Raw genomic sequence first — 20,550 nt, 5'->3', positions numbered from 1 at the left:
GCCTGTTATGTGCCCCTGAAACTGTTTTATGTACTGGAGCCATTCACAGCACTAACAGCTGACAGCAATAACTCATGAAGAGATTTTTTAAAAAAATGTAATAAGCAGATGCAACAGTATAAAACTTCAAATAGTTTAGGTACATTTAGTATTATCTTCCCCTATTCTGAGAATGAGTAGCCAGCCAGGTTTCTTCCAGAGGGGCAAGTAGAATGTCTCTTACTCGAGGCTGTAGTTTCTTGGAAATGAAACAAATGTGAAAAATTTCAAAATCGAGTTGGGTTGGCTGTAGTAAGGAAGCCAGGGAGGCAAAATTAACCTGCCCTCAAAAACAGATCTGAGGCATTGATCTCAAACTGGAGCATAAGGCCAGGAAAGGTCAGGACTAAAGAGATAAGAATAGGGAACACAGCAGCTCAGCAGCTCAGCAGCTTAAGCTGACAAGCCGAAAGGCCAGCAAGGTAAAAATTAGTGATAGAGCTGGATTTTAAACATTCCATTTTTCATGCTCCCATGGGCAACTCCTCTGTAATTTTGATATAAGATTATTTTGGGAGTGGGATTCTCTTTGTGGGGAAGGGGAGTAGAAGAATTAAACCTTCTCGGCCATGGCAAATTCAAGCCTTCCTTAGGTTTTATGCTTATATGTGTGTGTGCCTGCGTGTGCGTGTGTGTGCATGCGTGCGTGTGTGTGCATGCATGTGTGTGTATTTGTTGGGAGGGGCAGTAACTGACCAATTATGACAGAAGGCAACCCCTCCTTTTGCCCAAATCCCTCCCTTGGCATTTGGTAGGTGGTGCAGGTACCTGTGGGTTTTCACACCTCTGTAGCCTCTGAGGACTTCACTGGATTACAGGAGAGTAATAATTAATGCTAATAATGAGGACTCAGTGGTGTCAAGAAAGATGAAATTCTTTTATATATGTCATTCATGTAAGAAAGCAATGACTGTTAGATCTTCCCCCAACCCCCCAACAAGGTTAATATTTTAATGCTTGGGTATTTGGAGGAGTAAATAAGTACTTTTGAAATTTGCTTATTGATAAGAGCTTATTCTCTGATATTGCCTGAGTAGATATATTGTTGCTTTATGTAGCTTTAGTGATATTTCTATCGTTGAGTGAAAGTGAATCAGGGCTAGCACTTTAATTTGCATTTGTGATCAGGATTATTCTTTTGCATAAAGATTAAAATTTGATTTGGAACAGGAGTCAAGGATTTACTTCATTAGGTCTGAATTCACATTTTCCACCTCATTTGAAATAAAATATTTTGTAAGTTAAAATATATCTTAGCTGGGAAGCAATGTTATAACAACATTTCACCAAAATTCTTGAGAAATGTTTTAAAATCCAAAAGTCTTTCTACTGGTAATATTATTCCCCCGCTGACTTCATGTCAAAACCAAATGATGATGTATTTTCCTTAAGGCATTGTTTATATGGCAGGTCTTCAACCATATATTACTAACAGTTTGTACCTTATCAGACCTGACAAGATTACAGCCTGAAGAGTTATATTTTGATTCATATAAGAGTATGGACTTGAGCTTCAAAGGAATAATAAGGCCAAACTATTATAGTTCAAGGACTTTAATAAATATTAAATGATAAATAAGGCTGGTTCCACACTGGCTTCAGGGCCTGTGGATAATAAAAGAAAATCTTCAAATGGTGCCAAACAGTATTATGGCTGTCTTGCCTTTTATAATCTGTCTTTACTGCTTGCCACTGTAGTTGTCAGAGCTGGGAATGATGAGGTAGCATATGTAGTTTTTGTTGCTGACAGAATTAAAAGTAAAGGAGACTTTAAAAGTAATCCATCTCTGTAGCAGGATAAATACAGAAATGTGCTTTTTGGTAATACTGTAGTAGGTATTTAATCACTCCTCACCTGCCTACTCTCTCTAAAAGTCAGGTTGTGGACTTGATGTTAAATGTGAAACATACCAGGTGATATGCATTTTCATTATTGTTAATTTCTAGTTTTAATGGAAACTAGAATTTACTTATATCATCATGTTTGGGATGTCAAAACATGTCCCAGTGGGAGAGTGCAGAATGCCTATGATTCATAGAAGATCACTAAGTTATGTGATTATATGGAGGAAAAGTAAATGAAGCTGCTTTTCAAGAGAAAGCCCATCAGTACTATTGTTATAAAGTCTACTGTGGGCTGGGCACGGTGGCTCATGCCCATAATCCCAGCACTTTGGGAGGCTGAGGAGGGTGGATCACCTGAGGTCAGGAGTTTGAAACCAGCCTGGCCAACATGGTGAAACCACATCTCTACCAAAAATACAAAAATTAGCTGGGCATGGTGGCAGGTGCCTGCAATGCCAGCTACTTGGGAGGCTGAGGCAGGAGAATTGCTTGAACCCGGGGGGTGGAGGTTGCAGTGAACCAAGATTGTGCCATTGCACTCCTGCCTGGTTGACAAGAGCAAAACTCTGTCTCAAAAAAAAAAAAAAATCTACTGTGGCAGACAAATTCTAAGATGCCCTAATAATCCTGCCTCCTGTTGTTCATGCCCTTGTACATTGAAATTGGGCCAGCCTAGGTTTTTTTTTCTAACCAATTGAATATGGAAAACATGATGGGATATCACTTCTGTGATTAGGCTAAATAAGATAATGACCTGCCCTTTTGCTTACCATACTCTTCCCTTTGGTGACTTTGATGAAACATGTTGCCATATTGGCACATGCAAGGAACTGAGGGCATCCTCCAGCCAACAGCTAGCTAGGAACTCAGACCCTTACCTCAACAAGTCCTGTAGGAACTGAGTACTGCCAACAACTATGCCAGCTTGGAAGCAGATCCTTCCTCAGTCAAGATTTCAGATGAGACCCCAGCCGTGGCTGACACCTTGATTGCAGCCTGGTGAGAGACCCTAAAGCAAAGGGCTCAGTTAAGATATGCCCAGGTTCCTGACCCACAGAAACTGTGAGATTATACATATGCATTGTTTTAAGCTTCTAAGTTTGAGGTGTTGGACACATAGCAATAGAAAACTGATACATTAGATGTATTAGTTTGATAGGGCTACCACAACAAAGTACAACAGACTAGGTGGCTTAAATAGCCAATTGTGAGAAATTTATTTTCTCACAATTCTGGAGGCTCAGAAGTCTAAGATGAAGGTGTCAGAAGCGTTGATTTCTTCTGAGGCTTTTCTCCTTGGCCTTGTAGATGCCTGTCTTATCCTCGTCTCTTCACGTGATCTTCCTTCTGTGTGTGTCAGTGCACTAGTCCCCTTTTCATATATGGACACCAGTCATATTAGATTAGAGCCCACAATAATGACCTCATTTTAACTCAGTCACCTCTTTAAACATTCCATCTCCAAATACAGTCACATTCTGTGGGAACTGGAGATTAGGATGGCTTCATATGAATTTTATGGGGAAACAACAGTTCAGCTCATACGATAATTTTTTTATAGTTATGTTTATCTCTATAGCAAAAACTCTGTAGAACTTACTGTCTGTAAAGGTCTTTTGCTTCCTTTTTATTCTTTATTTTAATGTAATTATATATTTTTCAGATGATTTATATATATAAAAAAATCACATAGTTCAGCACATATATTTTCATATCCCTGTCTCCATAACAAAATTCAAATCTCTGTTTAAGTATATGTCTTTCATGTACTTTATTATTATTATTATTATTATTATTATTATTTTTAGACAGAGCCTCCCGCTGTCACCCAGGCTGGAGTGCAGCGGCACGTTCTTAGCACACTGCAACATCCATCTCCCGGGTTCAAGTGATTCTTCTGCCTCAGCCTCCTGAGTAGCTGGGATTACAGGCACCAACCACCACACCCGGCTAATTTTTGTGTTTTTTTTGGTAGAGATGAGATTTTGCCATGTTGGCCAGGCTTGTCTTGAACTCCTGGCCTCAAGCAATCCACCCGCCTCAGCCTACCAAAGTGCGGGGATTACAGGGGTGAGCTACTGTGCCCAGCCTCTTTCATATACTTTAGGTATAACACTTTGCAATATTTATGGTATTGCTGTTAGAGGCATTTTCAAAATCTACCTTTACTTTTTGTGTTTGCTTGCATACTTCTAAATAAGTTGGAAGTAGCTTGTCTTAAGAATAAGTACTTGTTAAAAAGATAGGGAGTTTGAAGAATTTACATTTATTTGAAGTAGGTATAATTTTAGATAATGGTAGGTCCAGAGAGTATCTATCTTTGTATTTGGGAATCCAGATATAATGGAGATACACTGTTAGAGCCTATCTAATGCTGGGCTGATTTATTAAGACACTGTTTTTTGACACTTTGAGTTATTAATAGCACTATACGTGTTTAAAATATTTTTCTAAATGGCCAAAAAAAATCTACATTATATACATTATATACAACAGTTCATTATAGCACAGACGAGTGGTTTTCAGAGTGTGTCTGCAGACCCAGGGAGTGCCAGAAACTCTCTTAGGGGATCTTCAAGGTCAAAACTATTTCCAAACTAAAACTAAAACATTATTTTCCTTTTATTTAAAGAAGTGTTGACATTTTTATATGTGTTGACATGTGTTGCATCATAAATGCAAAAGAAATAGTGGATGAAATTGCTGGAGGCTTTGCATTAATCGAGGCAGTGGTGTTAAACTACTGGCATTTGTATTTTAAAATAGGGATAATATTGCCAATATAAGATGGTGGTTGTAAGATTTAAATCAGATATTTTGTGTATAAGTTTTCAACTAATGACCACTATACACTGCTACCCTTATCAGCAACATGTGTTTCTACCATATTTTTGTCTTCTCTCTATGATTTATTTTGTGTTTTGATGAGTCATTTTGGTTATATTTATGTTTATAGGTACCTCCACCAAAAAATCAAAGAAGAATATTAAGATAATTCTTAAAACACAAGTCTATAGTGTTTCATGTTTCTTCAAAGAAATGGTTAGGGAAACATAGAAAGGTAAAGATGAGCAAGCAATTAGGGATTTTTGGAAATCTTTGATATTAGGAAGAGCATCATATACCTAGGAAGTTGAGCCAACAATTGTAAGGAGAATGGTTAACAGAACATATGACTGAACAGAGAACATTCTCCATTAGGGATAAAATATAATTACCTGACTTAGCACTTATTCCATTGGCAATTCAATTTCCATATATGCATCCTCTGCTCTAAATTGGTATGTCTATACTGGGTTATTTAACTTATTACAATAATATATACTTGATGTAAAGATGAGAAAGAATAGTATTGTTTTGTGCAATTTCCACTATTTTCCCGAAGTCTAAATCTAGCACTGTTCTATACTGCACTCTGTCAAGCATCAAGTCAGTGAAAAATAAAATTAGATTGTTGAACTATGTGCTATTCACTTAATTCTAAATTTGAATTATCATTGTTTCAAAATGAAATCAAAGGATAAGTAAATGCAAAGGCCTTTTGTCATTTTGTTATGCTGTTTATTGTGTTTTATTATTTTTTGCTTTATTTTTGCCTTATTCTGTTTTTTTTTTTAACAGATCATCAGAAACTAGAAAGAGAAGCTAGAATCTGCCGTCTTTTGAAGCACCCTAATATTGGTGAGAACGTATTTTTAATGTTTTTTAAATGTTAATTTAAAATTTTATGTTATTTACCACAATAAAAATGCTAATTTTATAATCTAGAATATTTATAACTTTTAAAAAATAGGTTCCTAACTTTCAATCTTGGTTACATTTGATACCTCAAAGTTTTCCTGTGTTTGCTGTTTGTTTTTTGATGCAATCTTTGAAGTAGAAATGTGAAAAATTAAGTTTGTGGAAACAAAGATACTAAATTAATTAATAGTGTATGTTTTCTGTTGTGCTGAAAGTTGTGTACCAACCAGTGGAAAACCTGAGTGTAATTTAAAGAATAAATAAATAAATTTAGGTAATCCCTGGTTATATTAGCTTTATTTTAACCACATAATTTGGAGTCTGCTATGTTAATGAGTTCAATGTCCTTTCTGTAGAGTCGTATAATGAAAACAATAATCCTTTACCTAATTGGGAAAATAGTTGTGAAGGTAAAAATGAAACAAGTATAACAATTTTTTGAAAAGTTATATATATAGTTTTTCAAAAGGTTGTGATTATGTATAAACACTTCAAAAAATAATATAAGGTCTCATTTGAATAGTGCTTTTATGTGTCTTTAAGAATTGTTCAGCTACAGGCCGGGCGCGGTGGCTCATGCCTGTAATCCCAGCACTTTGGGAGGCCGAGGCGGGTGGATCACGAGGTCAGGAGATGGAGACCATCCTGGCTAACACATGAAACCCCGTCTCTACTAAAAATACAAAAAAATTATCCGGGCGTGGTGGCGGGCGCCTGTAGTCCCAGCTACTCGGGAGGCTGAGGCCAGAGAATGGCTTGAACCCGGGAGGCGGAGCTTGCAGTGAGCTGAGATTGCGCCACTGCACTCCAGCCTGGGACGAGAGAGCGAGACTCTGTCTCAAAAAAAAAAAAAAAAAAAGAATTGTTCAGCTACTGCTGCTGAAGTATGGAAAGACAGGATTTATGTCATCACTTTACTCAGCTAAATTACATTCCATATATCCTGTAGAAAGTTTACTTTAGGCCAGGTGCGGTGGTTTACGCCTATAATCCCAGCACTTTGGAGGGGTGAGGCAGAAGGATCGCTTGAACCTAGGAGTTTGAGACCAGCCTGGGCAATATGGCAAGACCATATCTCTACAAACTATTAAAAAAATTAGCTGGATGTGGTAGTGTGCATGTATGGTCCCAGGTACTAGAGAGGCTAAGGTGGGAGGATTGCTTGAGCCCAGGAGGTTGAGGCTGCAGTGAGCCATGCACTTCAGACAGCCTGGGTGACAAAATGAGACCTTGTCTCCAAAAACAAAAAAGTTTACCTTATAGTTATTGATTTGATTCTAGAAATAGTAAAAGGACTTTAGAATATTTATCCCTCATGAATTATAAAATTGCATGACTTTTCAAAATTTTTAAAATGTGATGAATATAAGAAACAAGAAAAACACAGGAAAGAAAAAGTAAATTCAGAAATATGTGTAAACTGGATTCTGTGATAATAGGTTTGATTATTTTGGAAAAATGTTACTGTCCCAGCTCCCTCAATTTTATTGTTAACCTAAGTATTTCTGATCTAGAAGCAGTGAGAAAAGGGGTAACAGTGATGTAGAATTTGCAAAATCTTTCACTGAAAAGTTTACAGGTGTTTTAATTTTATGTGTAGGGGCATTCAATTTCTATTCCTGCTTTGATGTTTTTAGTATTCTGCACTTAGTGGGTGCATCTTAGGGTCTTAAATGAATGGATACTATGGGTAAAAAAAATTGTAACACTGGCAAATTCACCTATATCATTCACTCACTCAACAAGTTACATTTCTAGGTGTATAGTAGGAACAAAACATACTGCCAGCTGATTAAAAGGAACCTTCTGGTTTGAGGAGAGAACAAAACAACTCTGACATATAAATCTACCTCTCTAGAAGCATTTTACTCTGACAAAAATTTATGGCATTTCTTGTTTGGCTGTATTGGTTTGCTAAGACTGCCAGTAAGAGAGTACCACAGACTGGGTGGCTTAAGCAACAGAAATTTATTTTCTCATAGCTCTGGAAGCCAGAAATCTAAGATGAAGGTGTTGTCAGGTTTGGTTTCTTCTGAGACCTCCTTCCTAAGCAAGTAGGTGGCTGTCGTCTCACTGTGTCTTCACATGGTCTTCCCTCTGTATAATGTCTGCGTCCTCATTTCTTCTTGTAAGGACACCAGTCATATTGGATTAGGGCCCACACTGATAACCTCATTCTCACCTAATTACCCCTTTAGACACTCTATATGCAAATAATACAGTCACATTCTGAAGTGTGCTATCAGGATTAGCATATCAACATAGGAATTTGGGGAGGACATCATTTGCCCACAACATTGGCTAAAGAGAAATTACGCAATGAACCACTATAGTTCAAAGATTACTTCTCTTGCTCAGGTTTAAGATAAAATCAAATCTTTGTTTAGTGAAGTTGCAATTCCTGTGCAGAAAGTTGTTATTTGTTTGTTTTGGTTTGGTTTGGTTTGTATCAGGTCCTCCTATGAAACTCAATTTTTGTGGATAATGAAACTAGTTTCCTCCATTTCCTCTAGGATACCAAAGTCAAACACTCGAAAAACTGCCAAGCTAAAACAAGAACTCTTTTCATTTTGACACTACATACAGACTAAACTTATAAAAAGAGAAAGAATGCTGGGGAAAGTTCTAAACTTTTGTGTCCTAGATAGCATTGTCAACACCTTCTGACACAGTGTACATCTTTTTGCGAGGATCCATAACAGCCAAATGTCATAATTCCTTGGTTACCTCACTGGAGGTTTTCTTTAACCTTTTAAGATTTCAGGAGTACAAAAGGAACTGTGACAATTCTAGGTCCTTGAACCCTAGGACCCATTTCTAACCACAAGAGAGATTTCGAGTGATCCTTTATCTCAGTGTATAAGTCATAGATGGATTAAATTTATGAGACATAATCTCAAAAATTGTAACACTGGCAAATTCACCTGTATCATTTACTCACTCAACAAGTTACATTTCTAGGTGTATAGTAGGAACAAAACAGACCAATATCCCTGCCCTCATGGAGCTTGCAGTTTTGGGGGAGACAGGCAGTAAACAAAGCATTGGATATTAGATGGTGATAATTGTTGAGGAAAAATAGGAAGCAGAGAGGGAAATACTGGGTGTTGGGGTATTCCAGTTTTAAATAGTTGGTCAGGACCATTTCATAGAGAAGGTGAAATACATTTGAATGCAGACCTAAAAGAAGGGAGGAAGGAAGTCATTTGGCTCTCTGGGGGAAAAACAAACAAGCAAACAAACGAAAAACATTGTAGGCAGAGGGAACCAATAGCCTGCATAAGGGCCCTAAGGTCAGTAGATTCCACCAAAGCTTTTTATCTAATGAGAGAAATAGGAGATGAGTTCTTTCTCATTTTATCTTACCTTAATTGATGAATCTCCATGACATGTAATCTGACAGTGTTGTGTTTATTCATGTAAAGAACGATTTTAAAACATCAATAACAACAGTGACTGTCATAAAATAGTAAGCAACAGCCAACAAAGGAGGAGTGTTTTAAAGACAGATGCCATAAGTGGACATCTGCAAATGCATTGGAGAGTAGTTGACCCAGGGTGTAAGGAAAGTACTGCAGTTCCTGTCGATCATCGCACTAGTTAACAGCACCACATGAATCACTAGTACTCAATCATGACTGAATCATATTACACAGGGAAAACAGCATTTGCTCTTGATTTCCCTGACATAGGTAATATGATATCTAAGTAATATCAGACTCTTATCCTCTTCTCCCTGTTCTCTATTTTATTATTTCCTTGGTTTTAAAATCAGCTAGGCTTTAGAACTTTAAGGAAGGAAATAACTATTTTTGACCATTTTTTCCCCTGTGAAAATGTGCTTGTTTCATTTTTATATTTGAATGTGTCTTTCTCTTGGCACAGAATCAATAATCTTGAAAACTTGCAGCAAGCAAAAGGTTTCTTCCAAAGAAACACATTTTAAACCAACTAAAAATGGTGATTCATTAAACTACTTTTTTTCATGTGTTATTTTTTATGTTTTTCTGACCTTAAAAGTAATACTGTTAGTGGAAAATTTGGAAAATACAACATTGTATAAAGAAGAAACCTGAGGGCTCAACTTTTAATATTTGATTTATTCATTTTTGCCTTTTTATAATCTTATATATATATGCTAATTTTCAGCATTCTCTTGTGTGCATTTTCATACCCCTTTAGATATATCATGAAAATGGTCTCACCCAACAAAATTTCTTGAGTGTGTAGCCATTGCCAAGCTTTGTTCTAGGCTATATGCACTGGTGATGAAACAGTGATTGAGAGAGACAATGGCCCTCTTTTCCCAAAGCTTTGCATCCTAGTGTATAAACAAAACACCATAATAATGTCGTAAGGATTTGTTCTATGCAGAGAATTAAAATAGGGTAATTTGATACCAGGGGACCGGGTGGCTACTATCAAAAACAAACAGAGCCAGACACCAGTTAAAGCCGATACAGATTTTATTTTGTACTATTGCAATTGAGGAAAGAACTGAACTTCATTCCAAACACAGCAATGACAGCTGGGGATTTATAGTCAAGGAGCAGAGTGAGGGGGTCAGTGGATGGAAGATTTTTAAGAGGAGACATCAAGGATAGGGAGTTGCTGAACTGGACTAACAAGATTCTTGCTAAAGGCAGGCCAAGGACTTAGACATTAAGGGTAGAGGATGAAGACCTTGATGAGATATCAAAGGTGGGAAATCACTTCGTAGGATTCTTCATTTAGGCTGGCTTAGGAAGGTTAGGGACATTGTCCAAGGATGAGATCTAGTTGAAAAGAGGAACCTGCCTGATGTTTGGTTAGGGAGAGAGTCTTGGTCACTGCTTTAGAGCGTTTTGTCAGGCAAGATATATCTATGGAGGTCACATTTAAACTGATATCTAAATGACAGGTGGAAGCCATCATGAAAAAGAGAAAAGAGTTTCAGGCACAGAGAGCCCTCCTTGTTAGGGGAAAAGTAGGGAAACCAGTAGATGGACTGCCATGGGGGAAAGGGAGTGACTGAACAGGGCAGGTAGATATTTAACCAAGTAGGGTTTCGTTAACCAGATTTGGGAGTTTGGGTTTCATTCTACATGCAATGGGAAACCAATAGTGGGATTTTAAGCAAAAGTGTATCATAATCTGCTTTGCTGTGTCTGCTATGTGTAAAATGGTTTCCTAGTTACATGAGCACAATCAGTGATAATAGTGTTCAGTCAGGATATCAGAATCTAGTCTTATCAGCCTAGTACCCCTGAACTACATCTTCTTGGATAAGAATTTAAACAGCTCCAGGTTGGTTCTCTCTTTGGTGTGGTCCACATGATCCAAGAAAGCACCATGCATCTTTTGGCTCAACAAATTGTAGAGTACAGCCCGTTTTTAAAGAAGCTCCATCTTTGCTGTGCTCTAGCCAGGCAATTTTTGTTTGAACCTCAAACTGGAAAGATTATAGCTGACATTAAGATGTTGAAGCAATTTGAGGAGAACACCTTACTTTGTGCTTAGCTTAGTTAATGTTTGATCATTCTGTTCACCTTTTATTTTAATAAAATTGGCTTATTTTTCTTTGAGGAATTAACAAATTTGTTGTAAGCCAGAAATTCTGAGCTATATGTCAACATATGTATCAAATAAGTAAAAGAAAAATACCTTTCAGGTATTGAAATAAAATATTTGAGGTGATAGCCAAATTCTCAAAATTATTTGATATTCATACTGTTTTTATTCTTGGTCTTTGATTTGAGGAATTTATTTAAACTTATGGTGAAGCTCAGATAACAAACAATGGTAAAGAGAAAATAGGAAAACAGGAAAAAAATTCATTTAATTCAACCATAAGAGTCCAAAAACAGCTGGGCCAGGAAAGGAAAAGAAAAAATATTGAGAACTTTGATCTGACTTATCTGATTGTCCCAAGAGAGAAGATATTCATGTATGGGCCTTTATTTGGGAAAAGATCAATATTTGAGACAACTTTGCAGTTCATGGGATGATGAATTCTGTTGCCGGGTTGTCCCATTCCCTAAAGACTTGTGTTTACATTTTGTGTAGACTTTAGAAAGAGCAAGGTAATTTTTTGAAAGTTTGAAGCAACATTTATATTTGTAGATTAACACTATCTTTATAAGGTAAGCGTTTCCCATTATAATATGGCTTAATGAACTTCAGCAGCTAGAGAGCAAATGGAAGAGCTATGTAACCTTTTGAATCTAGTCTTTAGTGATACCCTGGAACCCCTAGTGCAGGGAATGAATTAACCTTTCTAGATCACGTCATAGCTCAATGATTACCTCCTCTCTACTGGCTTTCCTACCCACTACCCCAAAATGCATAAACACACTCACTCATACACTACAAAGTGTAACAGATAATAAGAGGCATAGTGTTAATGGAAAGCTCTATAGATTCACTGGGCCACAGTTTATTCTCCTTCTGATGCTGGCCTGCTCTGTGATCTGCTTATACAATCCCATCCACTCACCAAGTTCTAGTTCCTCTCTTTGTAAAGCAGAGAAAATATTTGCCTTTTTTATTTCCTTCCAAGAATCAATAGAATGAGGTAATGCATCTTACTTTGGTGAGGAGTTAATATATTTTGTAAGACGATTAATTTAAATAAACAGTTGAGTACATTATTATGGGGTACTGCTTACCAAGTAGTAACTAATTAATTCATTTCTTAGCATTTAGTAGTGTCTTTCTGAGATGTGCGTATTCAACAATGGGGAAATATATTTCAGAAACTTTCAAATATCATATATTCTATATGATATATATGTTGTATATAGTATATAATATATGATATGTATTACACATAATCAGATAATTGTAATATTGCAACAGCAGATCCTATACATTATCTAGCATAAACTCTAATTTTTTTGTTTTAATATTTAGGAGAGCTAAAATTTTCCAAATGTATATGATTTGTCCAAAGTCACAGTTCTTTAATGATATTGCCAGACCTAAATTGTTGATTGCTTCTGTAAAGAGATGGCGATGTTTAGGGAACCTAACTTGAAGCAGCAAGATTGAAAAAGCAATGTTTTTGTTCCCTTTTGAGGAGAGTTTTGAGGTTGTTTTTGGTTCAAATCGATTCCTCCCCTCACATAAGATAAACATTAACTAAAAAACTTTCAATATTAATACAGGAAGAGAAAGCCTTTACATTTTAGACAGCATAAGTTACAGCTACCTACCATATATATTAGCCCTGGTATAGAACCAGTGTGTTTAAGAAAGATGCTCTGCTTAAAGATGATTTATTGTTTCACATATATAACAGTACATAAAATTTCATGTGCTGACAGGTGGAGATTAAAGAATATATAAGAGCCTTTACTTTCTATAAAAGCATGTTTCCCATTCCTATGAGTAATAATGGCATTTAGGATCTATATAATTTTCTTTTCCTAAAATTTAAAACTGGAAGAGCTCTTAGGAATTACCTAAGACCAACCTAGATTCTACAAATTGAAGGTTTAAGTAGTGAAGTAATATGCCCAGGATCATACCCAGATCTAAAAAGAGATGAAAAACACACAATCTGTGTATTACTTCGTTTAGCACGTAGTGTTTCTTCTTTTTGGTGACTTTGGAGATATGATGTCATCCTGTAAAAGTAATATTTTAACCACAATCTTAGATCTCCCTAGTTTTCACAAGAAATTTTTCGCTCAAATACCATTCCTCAAGTTTTTATGAAATAAATTAACTGTCATTTTTTGTTTGTTCTTTTGTCTTTAGCAGATGATTTTAACCATAAATTTTGCCTTTTTATCCTTCTCTGCATGCAGTTGTCTTCTAGGTTCCTCAGGTTCTGTAAGGAACCCATACAATCACATTGTACAGGTTAAGCTTACTAAATATTTCTCTTAAATATACCCAGTATTTACTTATAAATGAGTAAATTGCCTTATGTGTTTATTGTACCAATATTCCAGTTTTTGAACCCTTGGAAACAAAATCACATAGGAAAGAAGAGTAGAGTTAATGCAGAGTAAATGTTAATTGATCTACTGAGAAAACAAAGTTAATAGTTTTATGAATGACAATTAAAAGTCTTTTTCAATGGCATCAGAAGTTGAGCAACAGTCTAAGAAAGCGACGCAGTTTTTTTCTGTGACCTCTCCCTTATTGATGGTTCTGCCTAAAAATTAGAGTAGTTTGTAATCAAACAAGAGTAAGTAATTTTTCTTGTTAACTACTTTCTCTAGTGACTCTCTAACAGATTAAAAGTATTTTAATACTATTTAGTAGCAAAAAGCAAATTATCTTATTTTATATTTACCTTATTTGATTAAATCTCAGCTCTTTATTATGATTATTTGGTGAGAAGGCCAAATTACTTCTTAGAATATATAACAGTCTGCAAAATTGATTATTCTCTTTTAATAAATGTGAGAACTAGCACAGCGATATATTTTTCTCTTCAAATAAATATGTTCAAAAAATTCTAATTATCTGTTTTAGCTTTTTTTCCTTTGTTTATACAATATGGTGCCAGTTATGTATTCTTTATAATTCTTGGTAGAAAGTTAAATTTATCGTCTTTTTAAGTAAATGCTTATTTTACTAAAAAGACAAAATTTGAATATAAAAATTGTATATTCAAGATAATGCTTCAAAATCTTTTCCATTGGTGAATTTGAATCTGAGTACATTTGTTACTGGTTTCTTTGTCAATATTTTTTTCCATGTATCAATGAAAAAGCCACTTCACTAAGTTAATTTAGAAGTAGGTAGATTTATACATGAAACTGGAGAAAAAGAGTCCTTCTGTTACAAATGAAGGATAGTTTCATTTTTAGAGTTACTTATAGTACATAGATTACACTTTGATCTATCAATGCATAATATTTACTGAAATAGTTCTGATTTATTCTACTAAGCCTATTTGATTTCCATCTTGCCCTGTCTCCACTACATTCAGGGTAGAATCCCCTAACAGGGTATTGGAAGTTTATAGTAATTTCTTCAGCTCAGAAGTCGGCCCTAAACTGAAATTTGAAAGAAAAATAATCCCAAACATGAGGAGTACTTTGTTTTGTTGGGGCTTGAGTTGTGCAGAATCCCACCTCCACTCCCTTTTCTCACCATGGGGAAGAATAACTCATGTCGCTAGGGAGCCCAGAAGATAGTTGGGGAAGTGATAACACTTTTTGTTCACTTAAAAATCATTCCTCTTTTCCCTTTATTCCAGTAGCATTGATAATAAACTTGCCTATGGTAAGTACTTGTATTAAGATGTGAAGTAGGCCGAATTAGAAAAAAAAATTAGATTGGAATTCCAAAGAACTTCACCACTAGAACTAATGATAAAACTATTAACTGTGTTATCAGGCTCTGGTCTAAAGTGTTTTCCATGCATTAGTTATTTTAATTCTCATAACAAACAAATATCATTCTTGTCTCCATTTTACAGGCAAGGAATCTAAAGCCTAAAGAGGTTACACAATTTAATCAAGATCAGGCAGTTAGTAAATGGTGGAGTTGGAATCCAAACCTGCATATTCTGGCATGACAATCTGTGCTCTTCAATACTGCACTGTATCGCTGCTGTATAACTCTGAATTAGTCATACTATTCTTTAATAAGTGCAGAAAATAATTTTAAAATTTTATAAACATTGATTAAAAAATCCTTGCTTAAATTATCTAATTTTAGTATTTATTATTAGTCCTTGTTCCAGAGGGAAATATTAGCATGACATTATTATTCAAATGCTTATGGAAAATATAGGTATTATAGAACTAATTATATTTTAATGACAATTTTTAGTATCTTGGTAAAAAATCTGGCTTATCTTTTACATCTTTTAGGTGGTCACATCTGGCCCTGAATTAATTATTATCGCTGTACAAGACAGTCTTTTACTTTTCTCTCTTACTGATCATGAAAATGAATAAAATAATTGTCAGAAAACAATGAAGGCTAAGGAAACAATAGTAATTAATATAATTTGTACAATGTATGACAAAACATTTTAAAACTCTGCTTTACATTGTAGAAAAAGAAATCAGGACCAGATAGTAATGTGATGATGAATTCTTACATCAGATAAGCCCTCAATTTTTTTAAAACAATCATTGCTTATAACTTACTTAGAGTATACAGAGGAATACCAATTTAGGGGTTTGAGATAACTTTTGAAAGTGTACTTTAGAGTTCAATTATAGCATTTCTTTTTGTCACTTTTTTTCCTAGCTGCAGTTTACTTTGGTAGGAATTTGCCACAGTAGAAAAGGTAGCTTCATATTCTTATTATTTACACATTTGAACACAGGAATTTGTTTTCTTTAAAAATGCTCCATAGGTAGAAGTGTTTGCTCTCTGAATTTGATTTATAGTACATCAGTTTAACAAAATCATATCTAGCTCTAATGAGCTCACCATGGATTTATGATCATGTCAGGTTATTGTTTGAAATAACTTGTTAATTTTATTATTTAGTTTAGAAGTCTAATGGTCTATGTTGAAGGAAAGTAAACAGTGATATGACTTGAATTCTCTTAAAATATTCTTTCACGTTTTTCACTTCAGTAGTAATTTATAACATATCCTGTGAAATGACAGAAGATTTTGCTCACACTGTTGAAGTTCAGTAGTTTTTATAATTCAGTCTCCAAAGATTACTTTCAGTTTTTAGTGATGGGCTATTGTGTGTTTTAACCAAATGCATAGAATAAGAGGAAAAATTTTTGTAGCATACCAAGTTGTTCACCAAAGAAGATAACAGTATGTTTCGTGAGCATTATTTTGAAGTGTAGGATGTCTTTTCTTTCACTTGTTCTGTTCAGAAAATGATATTACTTACTAATACATGTGCAGAATCTCATTATTTTGTAAACACTTTCCTTGAGACATCCATAATTATTATTTCCATAGGCATAGGCAGTTTTGCATATTCACATGAATTTGTGTTGGATATTTGTCAAAAAACATGCTATGCTTTGTCTTATCTATTTTTCATTTAGAGCAAAATGCTCACTTTCAAATTGAAGTGATAAAACATCCCATTATATTTTGATTAGATCTGGAAATGTTTTTTCGAAATCTTTTGAAAAATTTAATAAATGAAATGTTAATTTAATTTGTTTCCACCCATTATATTTTTCTCTAATTTCTTTTTTTTTTTTTTTGAGATGGAGTTTCACTCTTGTCATCCAGGCTAGAGTGCAGTGTCACGATCTCGGCTCACTGCAACCTCTGCCTCCCAGGTTCAAGCTATTCTCTTGCCTCAGCCTCCCGAGCAGCTGGGATTACAGGCATGCACCACCATGCCTGGCTATTTTTGTATTTTTAGTAGAGATGGGGTTTCACCATGTTGGCCAGGCTGGTCTCGAACTCCTGACCTCGTGATCCACCCACCTCAGCCTCCCAAAGTGCTGGGATTACAGGCATGAGCCACCACACCCAGCCGTCTAATTTCTTAAACAATCATTAGATTAGTTTTATGTCCACATTTGATATTGGAATTAAAGGAAATTATATTAATCTGGGGAAAGGTAAAATGAAAGATAAGAAAAATAAAACTATACATAATTTGGAAGTTGTCTCCTATTTCTTTGTTTGAGTTGAAGTCTCACTCTGTCACTCTGGCTGGAGGGCAGTGGCACGATCTTGGCTCACTGCAACCTCTGCCTCCTGGGTTCATTCAAGCTATTCTCCTGCCTCAGCCTCCCGAGTAGCTGGGATTACAGGCACGTGCCACCACACACAGCTAATTTTTGTATTTTTAGTAGGGACAGGGTTTCGCCATGTTGGCCAGGCTGGTCTCAAACTCCTGATCTCAGGTGATCTGCCCACCTCGGCCTCCCAAAGTACTGGGATTACAGGCATGAGCCACCACGCCTGGCCAGTTGTCTTCCATTTCTAATGGTTAAGCTTGATTGAGTTGAATAGCGCTAACTCTGTTGTAGCTAAAGTACTGGTAGACTACAAAGATGAATGAGACATATTCCTTGACCAAAAAGAGTTCACAATTTTAAAGGACAAATAATTATGTATGCAACTGAAATATAGTGTGATTATATACTATAATGAAACTACTAATAAGGTGCCATGGGAGCACTAACATACAAGCTAAGAATCTTAACTGAAATATATTGGATGGTGAACAGAATTTTGCCATAAAGTTGTAGGGATTGGACTGAAGAGCATTATAGAAAGACAGGCCCACAAAAGAAAAAATAGAGTTAAAAGTCTTTGTCGCACTTGAATGACTGAAAACCTGTAATGATTGGCGTTATTATATATGTGTGTCAGAAATAAAAGTTGATTGAGAATAATAATGGAGAGTCTGGGAAGGAATTTGATTTTTAATCTGGAGAAAATAAAGAATTAATTAAGATTTATTTAGTCGACTCATGATTATATCAGTTTTTTAGGACAGATTTAGTAGTAATAAGCATAATTATGTGGTGTCAGGAAAAATTGGTGTTGAAAGAGCATCTGAAAGTCTCTGGAGTGAATGTAGGTGTAAGGCATGATGAGTTCCTCAACCATAGCAATGGGATCAGGGATGGCAAGGAGGGCAAAGCTACCAAAGATGTTGCTGTGGAATCAGATCTTGAGCAACAATTAACTTGTGGCAGATGGGCTAAGAGGTTTCTTTGAGGTTTCTAGTTTGCGTGACTAGAGAGATGTTGATCCCTTTAACTGACAATAGGCAACAAAGGAGGAAAAAACATTGGGAGAAATTAGAAATTTCACTGATTTGAAAACATTATTTTTTTAAGGATTGGAACATTTCCATTATGGGGGAACATGGACAAAAAAGGAAGACTAGAAGTCGCAAATGCCACTACCCAAACCCCTGATCTTTCACTTTTTGGCAGAAGATATAAGCTTCTTACCATGTGAGCATCCTCTTCAGGATGGAAATATTTGGCTGTGACTGTGATCATCTTTCTTAGACTAAGACTGAATGCTGCTGAGTCAAGAGCAGTCAAGTTGGGTGCTCAAAGTATCTGCTGAAAAAGCAACATAACGTCTGTAGCAACTCCATCACCACCTAACTGTGGTTGAGCACTTATTTCTAGGGTGCTTTTTCCCCCCATTCTGTCCACTAAAGTAAAGCTCACTTCTTACCGGTCCCTTGTGCCTTTCCCAAACATGTATCTTTTGTTGGCTCAACTACTTTCATTTGTGTATATCCCATCAGACTTGCATGTGGGATACCACATAGAGCTGTAGAGAGTATGAATATATGTTTTGAGTCATCTACATGTATGGGATAGTGAGAGCATATGAACGTGCCCAACAGTATATTACCAAGGGGGCCATAGACAGAATGATGAAAATGCTTATTTGTAAAAATTTGACTTCTTTTAAGGAGCAATAACAACAGCCATTTTCTTAGATTACTTTCATTCTGAATATATTTTAAAACATTTAATATATAAAACAGCTAAATTTTTATTCTAGATGAATAAAAGGAAATTATATTTGGGAACAAAATATTTTGAGATGTACAAAAATGCAGTATAGGCTTCTTTTTACAATAATAATCCAACTACCCCAATTTTAAATAGGGTTATATCAATTTATACTCTTAGAAAAGTAGGAAGACTATAAATTTTAACTACAGTCTTAATTTTGTTAAAGCTATAATGAGTTACTATTTTGAAGGTCATTATTTCCTTCTGCCAATCTCCTTCTCCCAAATAATTTCTCATTTAAAAGTTGTAGTGCCAAATGTGCATTTAAGCTTATTTGTTAGGAACTCTCTAAGAGAACTCTGATAAAACATGGTTTTCAAATGTTATTCTCATATGTGTTGATTATTCCAGTGACCTTTTCTTTTGATATTTCTTATATAAATCTGCCATTCAAAATTAAATTACATCTTCTGGTCATTTTCTAAGAATATATTCATAATATGGATGAGAGAAAAGAGATGGAACCATTTTTCCCCCACAGAAAGACAGAGGATCATTCATTTAAGGTAACAGTTTTCAACCTGGGATGATTTTGCCCCCTCTACTCTCTCTTCCTTCCGGAGACATTTGACAATGTGTAGAAACATTTTTGACTGTCACAGTTGTGGGTGCCATTCTGGCATCTCTTGGGTGGAGGCTGCTAAGCATCCTACAATGCACAGAAGAGCCCTTCACAATAATGAATTATCTGCTCCAAAATGCCATAGTACTAATATTGAGGAACTCAGTGATTTAAAGTAAGAGTTACAATTACAACAAAAAGATAAATAGCCAGCATTATTTGATTTACTTCTGGGGCCATGCAATTTTCTTTTTCATAAAAAAAGTAGGCAGTGCATCTTCTTAAGTAAAGGACAAATCTATTAAAGAAAATAAACTGCTTTTGAAACAATTTATATTGTATCTAATTAAATTGAAGCATAGAAATTGTACGGTAAGCAGAGCCAAGGTAGCATAGTCTGATGCTGACATATGCTAATTACAATCCTTATAAATCTATTCATCAGAACAGATTTTATTAGGCAACCTTGGCAATCCTGATTCCTTCACACACAAAAAGGTAATGAAAGCTATTTAAATATAATAGAATAATTTAGTCTTTTAACTAATTTTGACGGGTCTTTTCCCCAATTAATCTGAATCAGTGATGTGTTACTATGGTGTAACAACTGCAAAACACCTTCCAGTGAAATTTTTTAAAAAATTATGTAAGGCTATCATGAGGTTTTTCGGTAAACTAGAAAACATTATTTTTTGAGATAATAAATAGGTTGGAGGTTTATGATGCAGTTATTTGTTTTTCATTTGGGAAGGTTTTAATGTTTAAATGGTGAAGTGACAATATCCGATTTAATTTTAACAGGATTACTCTGGCTACTGCAAGTCTGACCATGTCTTTCCTCTCCTCGGAAACTAATCAGTGGCTTCCCACTGCACTCAGAGAACGAGGGGATGGCATGCAAGGCTTGCAAGGCCTTCCACAATGAAC

The 20,550-nt window shown here is 35.5% G+C and overlaps 1 protein-coding gene across 53 annotated transcripts in view; it reads left to right on the top strand.

The window, feature by feature from the left end:
- The window catches only part of CAMK2D (calcium/calmodulin dependent protein kinase II delta), a 310,707-nt gene that overhangs the window by 94,461 nt on the left and 195,696 nt on the right, over positions 1-20,550 (top strand). For all 53 annotated transcript variants that reach the window (NM_001321578.2, NM_001321577.2, XM_017008674.3 and 50 more), the window contains one exon: positions 5,506-5,565. Coding sequence is in view for 48 of the 53 variants with exons in the window: in NM_001321577.2 (NP_001308506.1) it covers positions 5,506-5,565 (60 nt within the window). In the remaining 5 variants the exon portion in view is untranslated. The remainder of the gene's footprint in view (positions 1-5,505; positions 5,566-20,550) is intronic.

Source organism: Homo sapiens, chromosome 4 (genome assembly GCF_000001405.40).
Source record: "Homo sapiens chromosome 4, GRCh38.p14 Primary Assembly".
NCBI classification, from domain to species: domain Eukaryota; kingdom Metazoa; phylum Chordata; class Mammalia; order Primates; family Hominidae; genus Homo; species Homo sapiens.
This window is presented reverse-complemented; position numbering and strand designations above follow the sequence as displayed.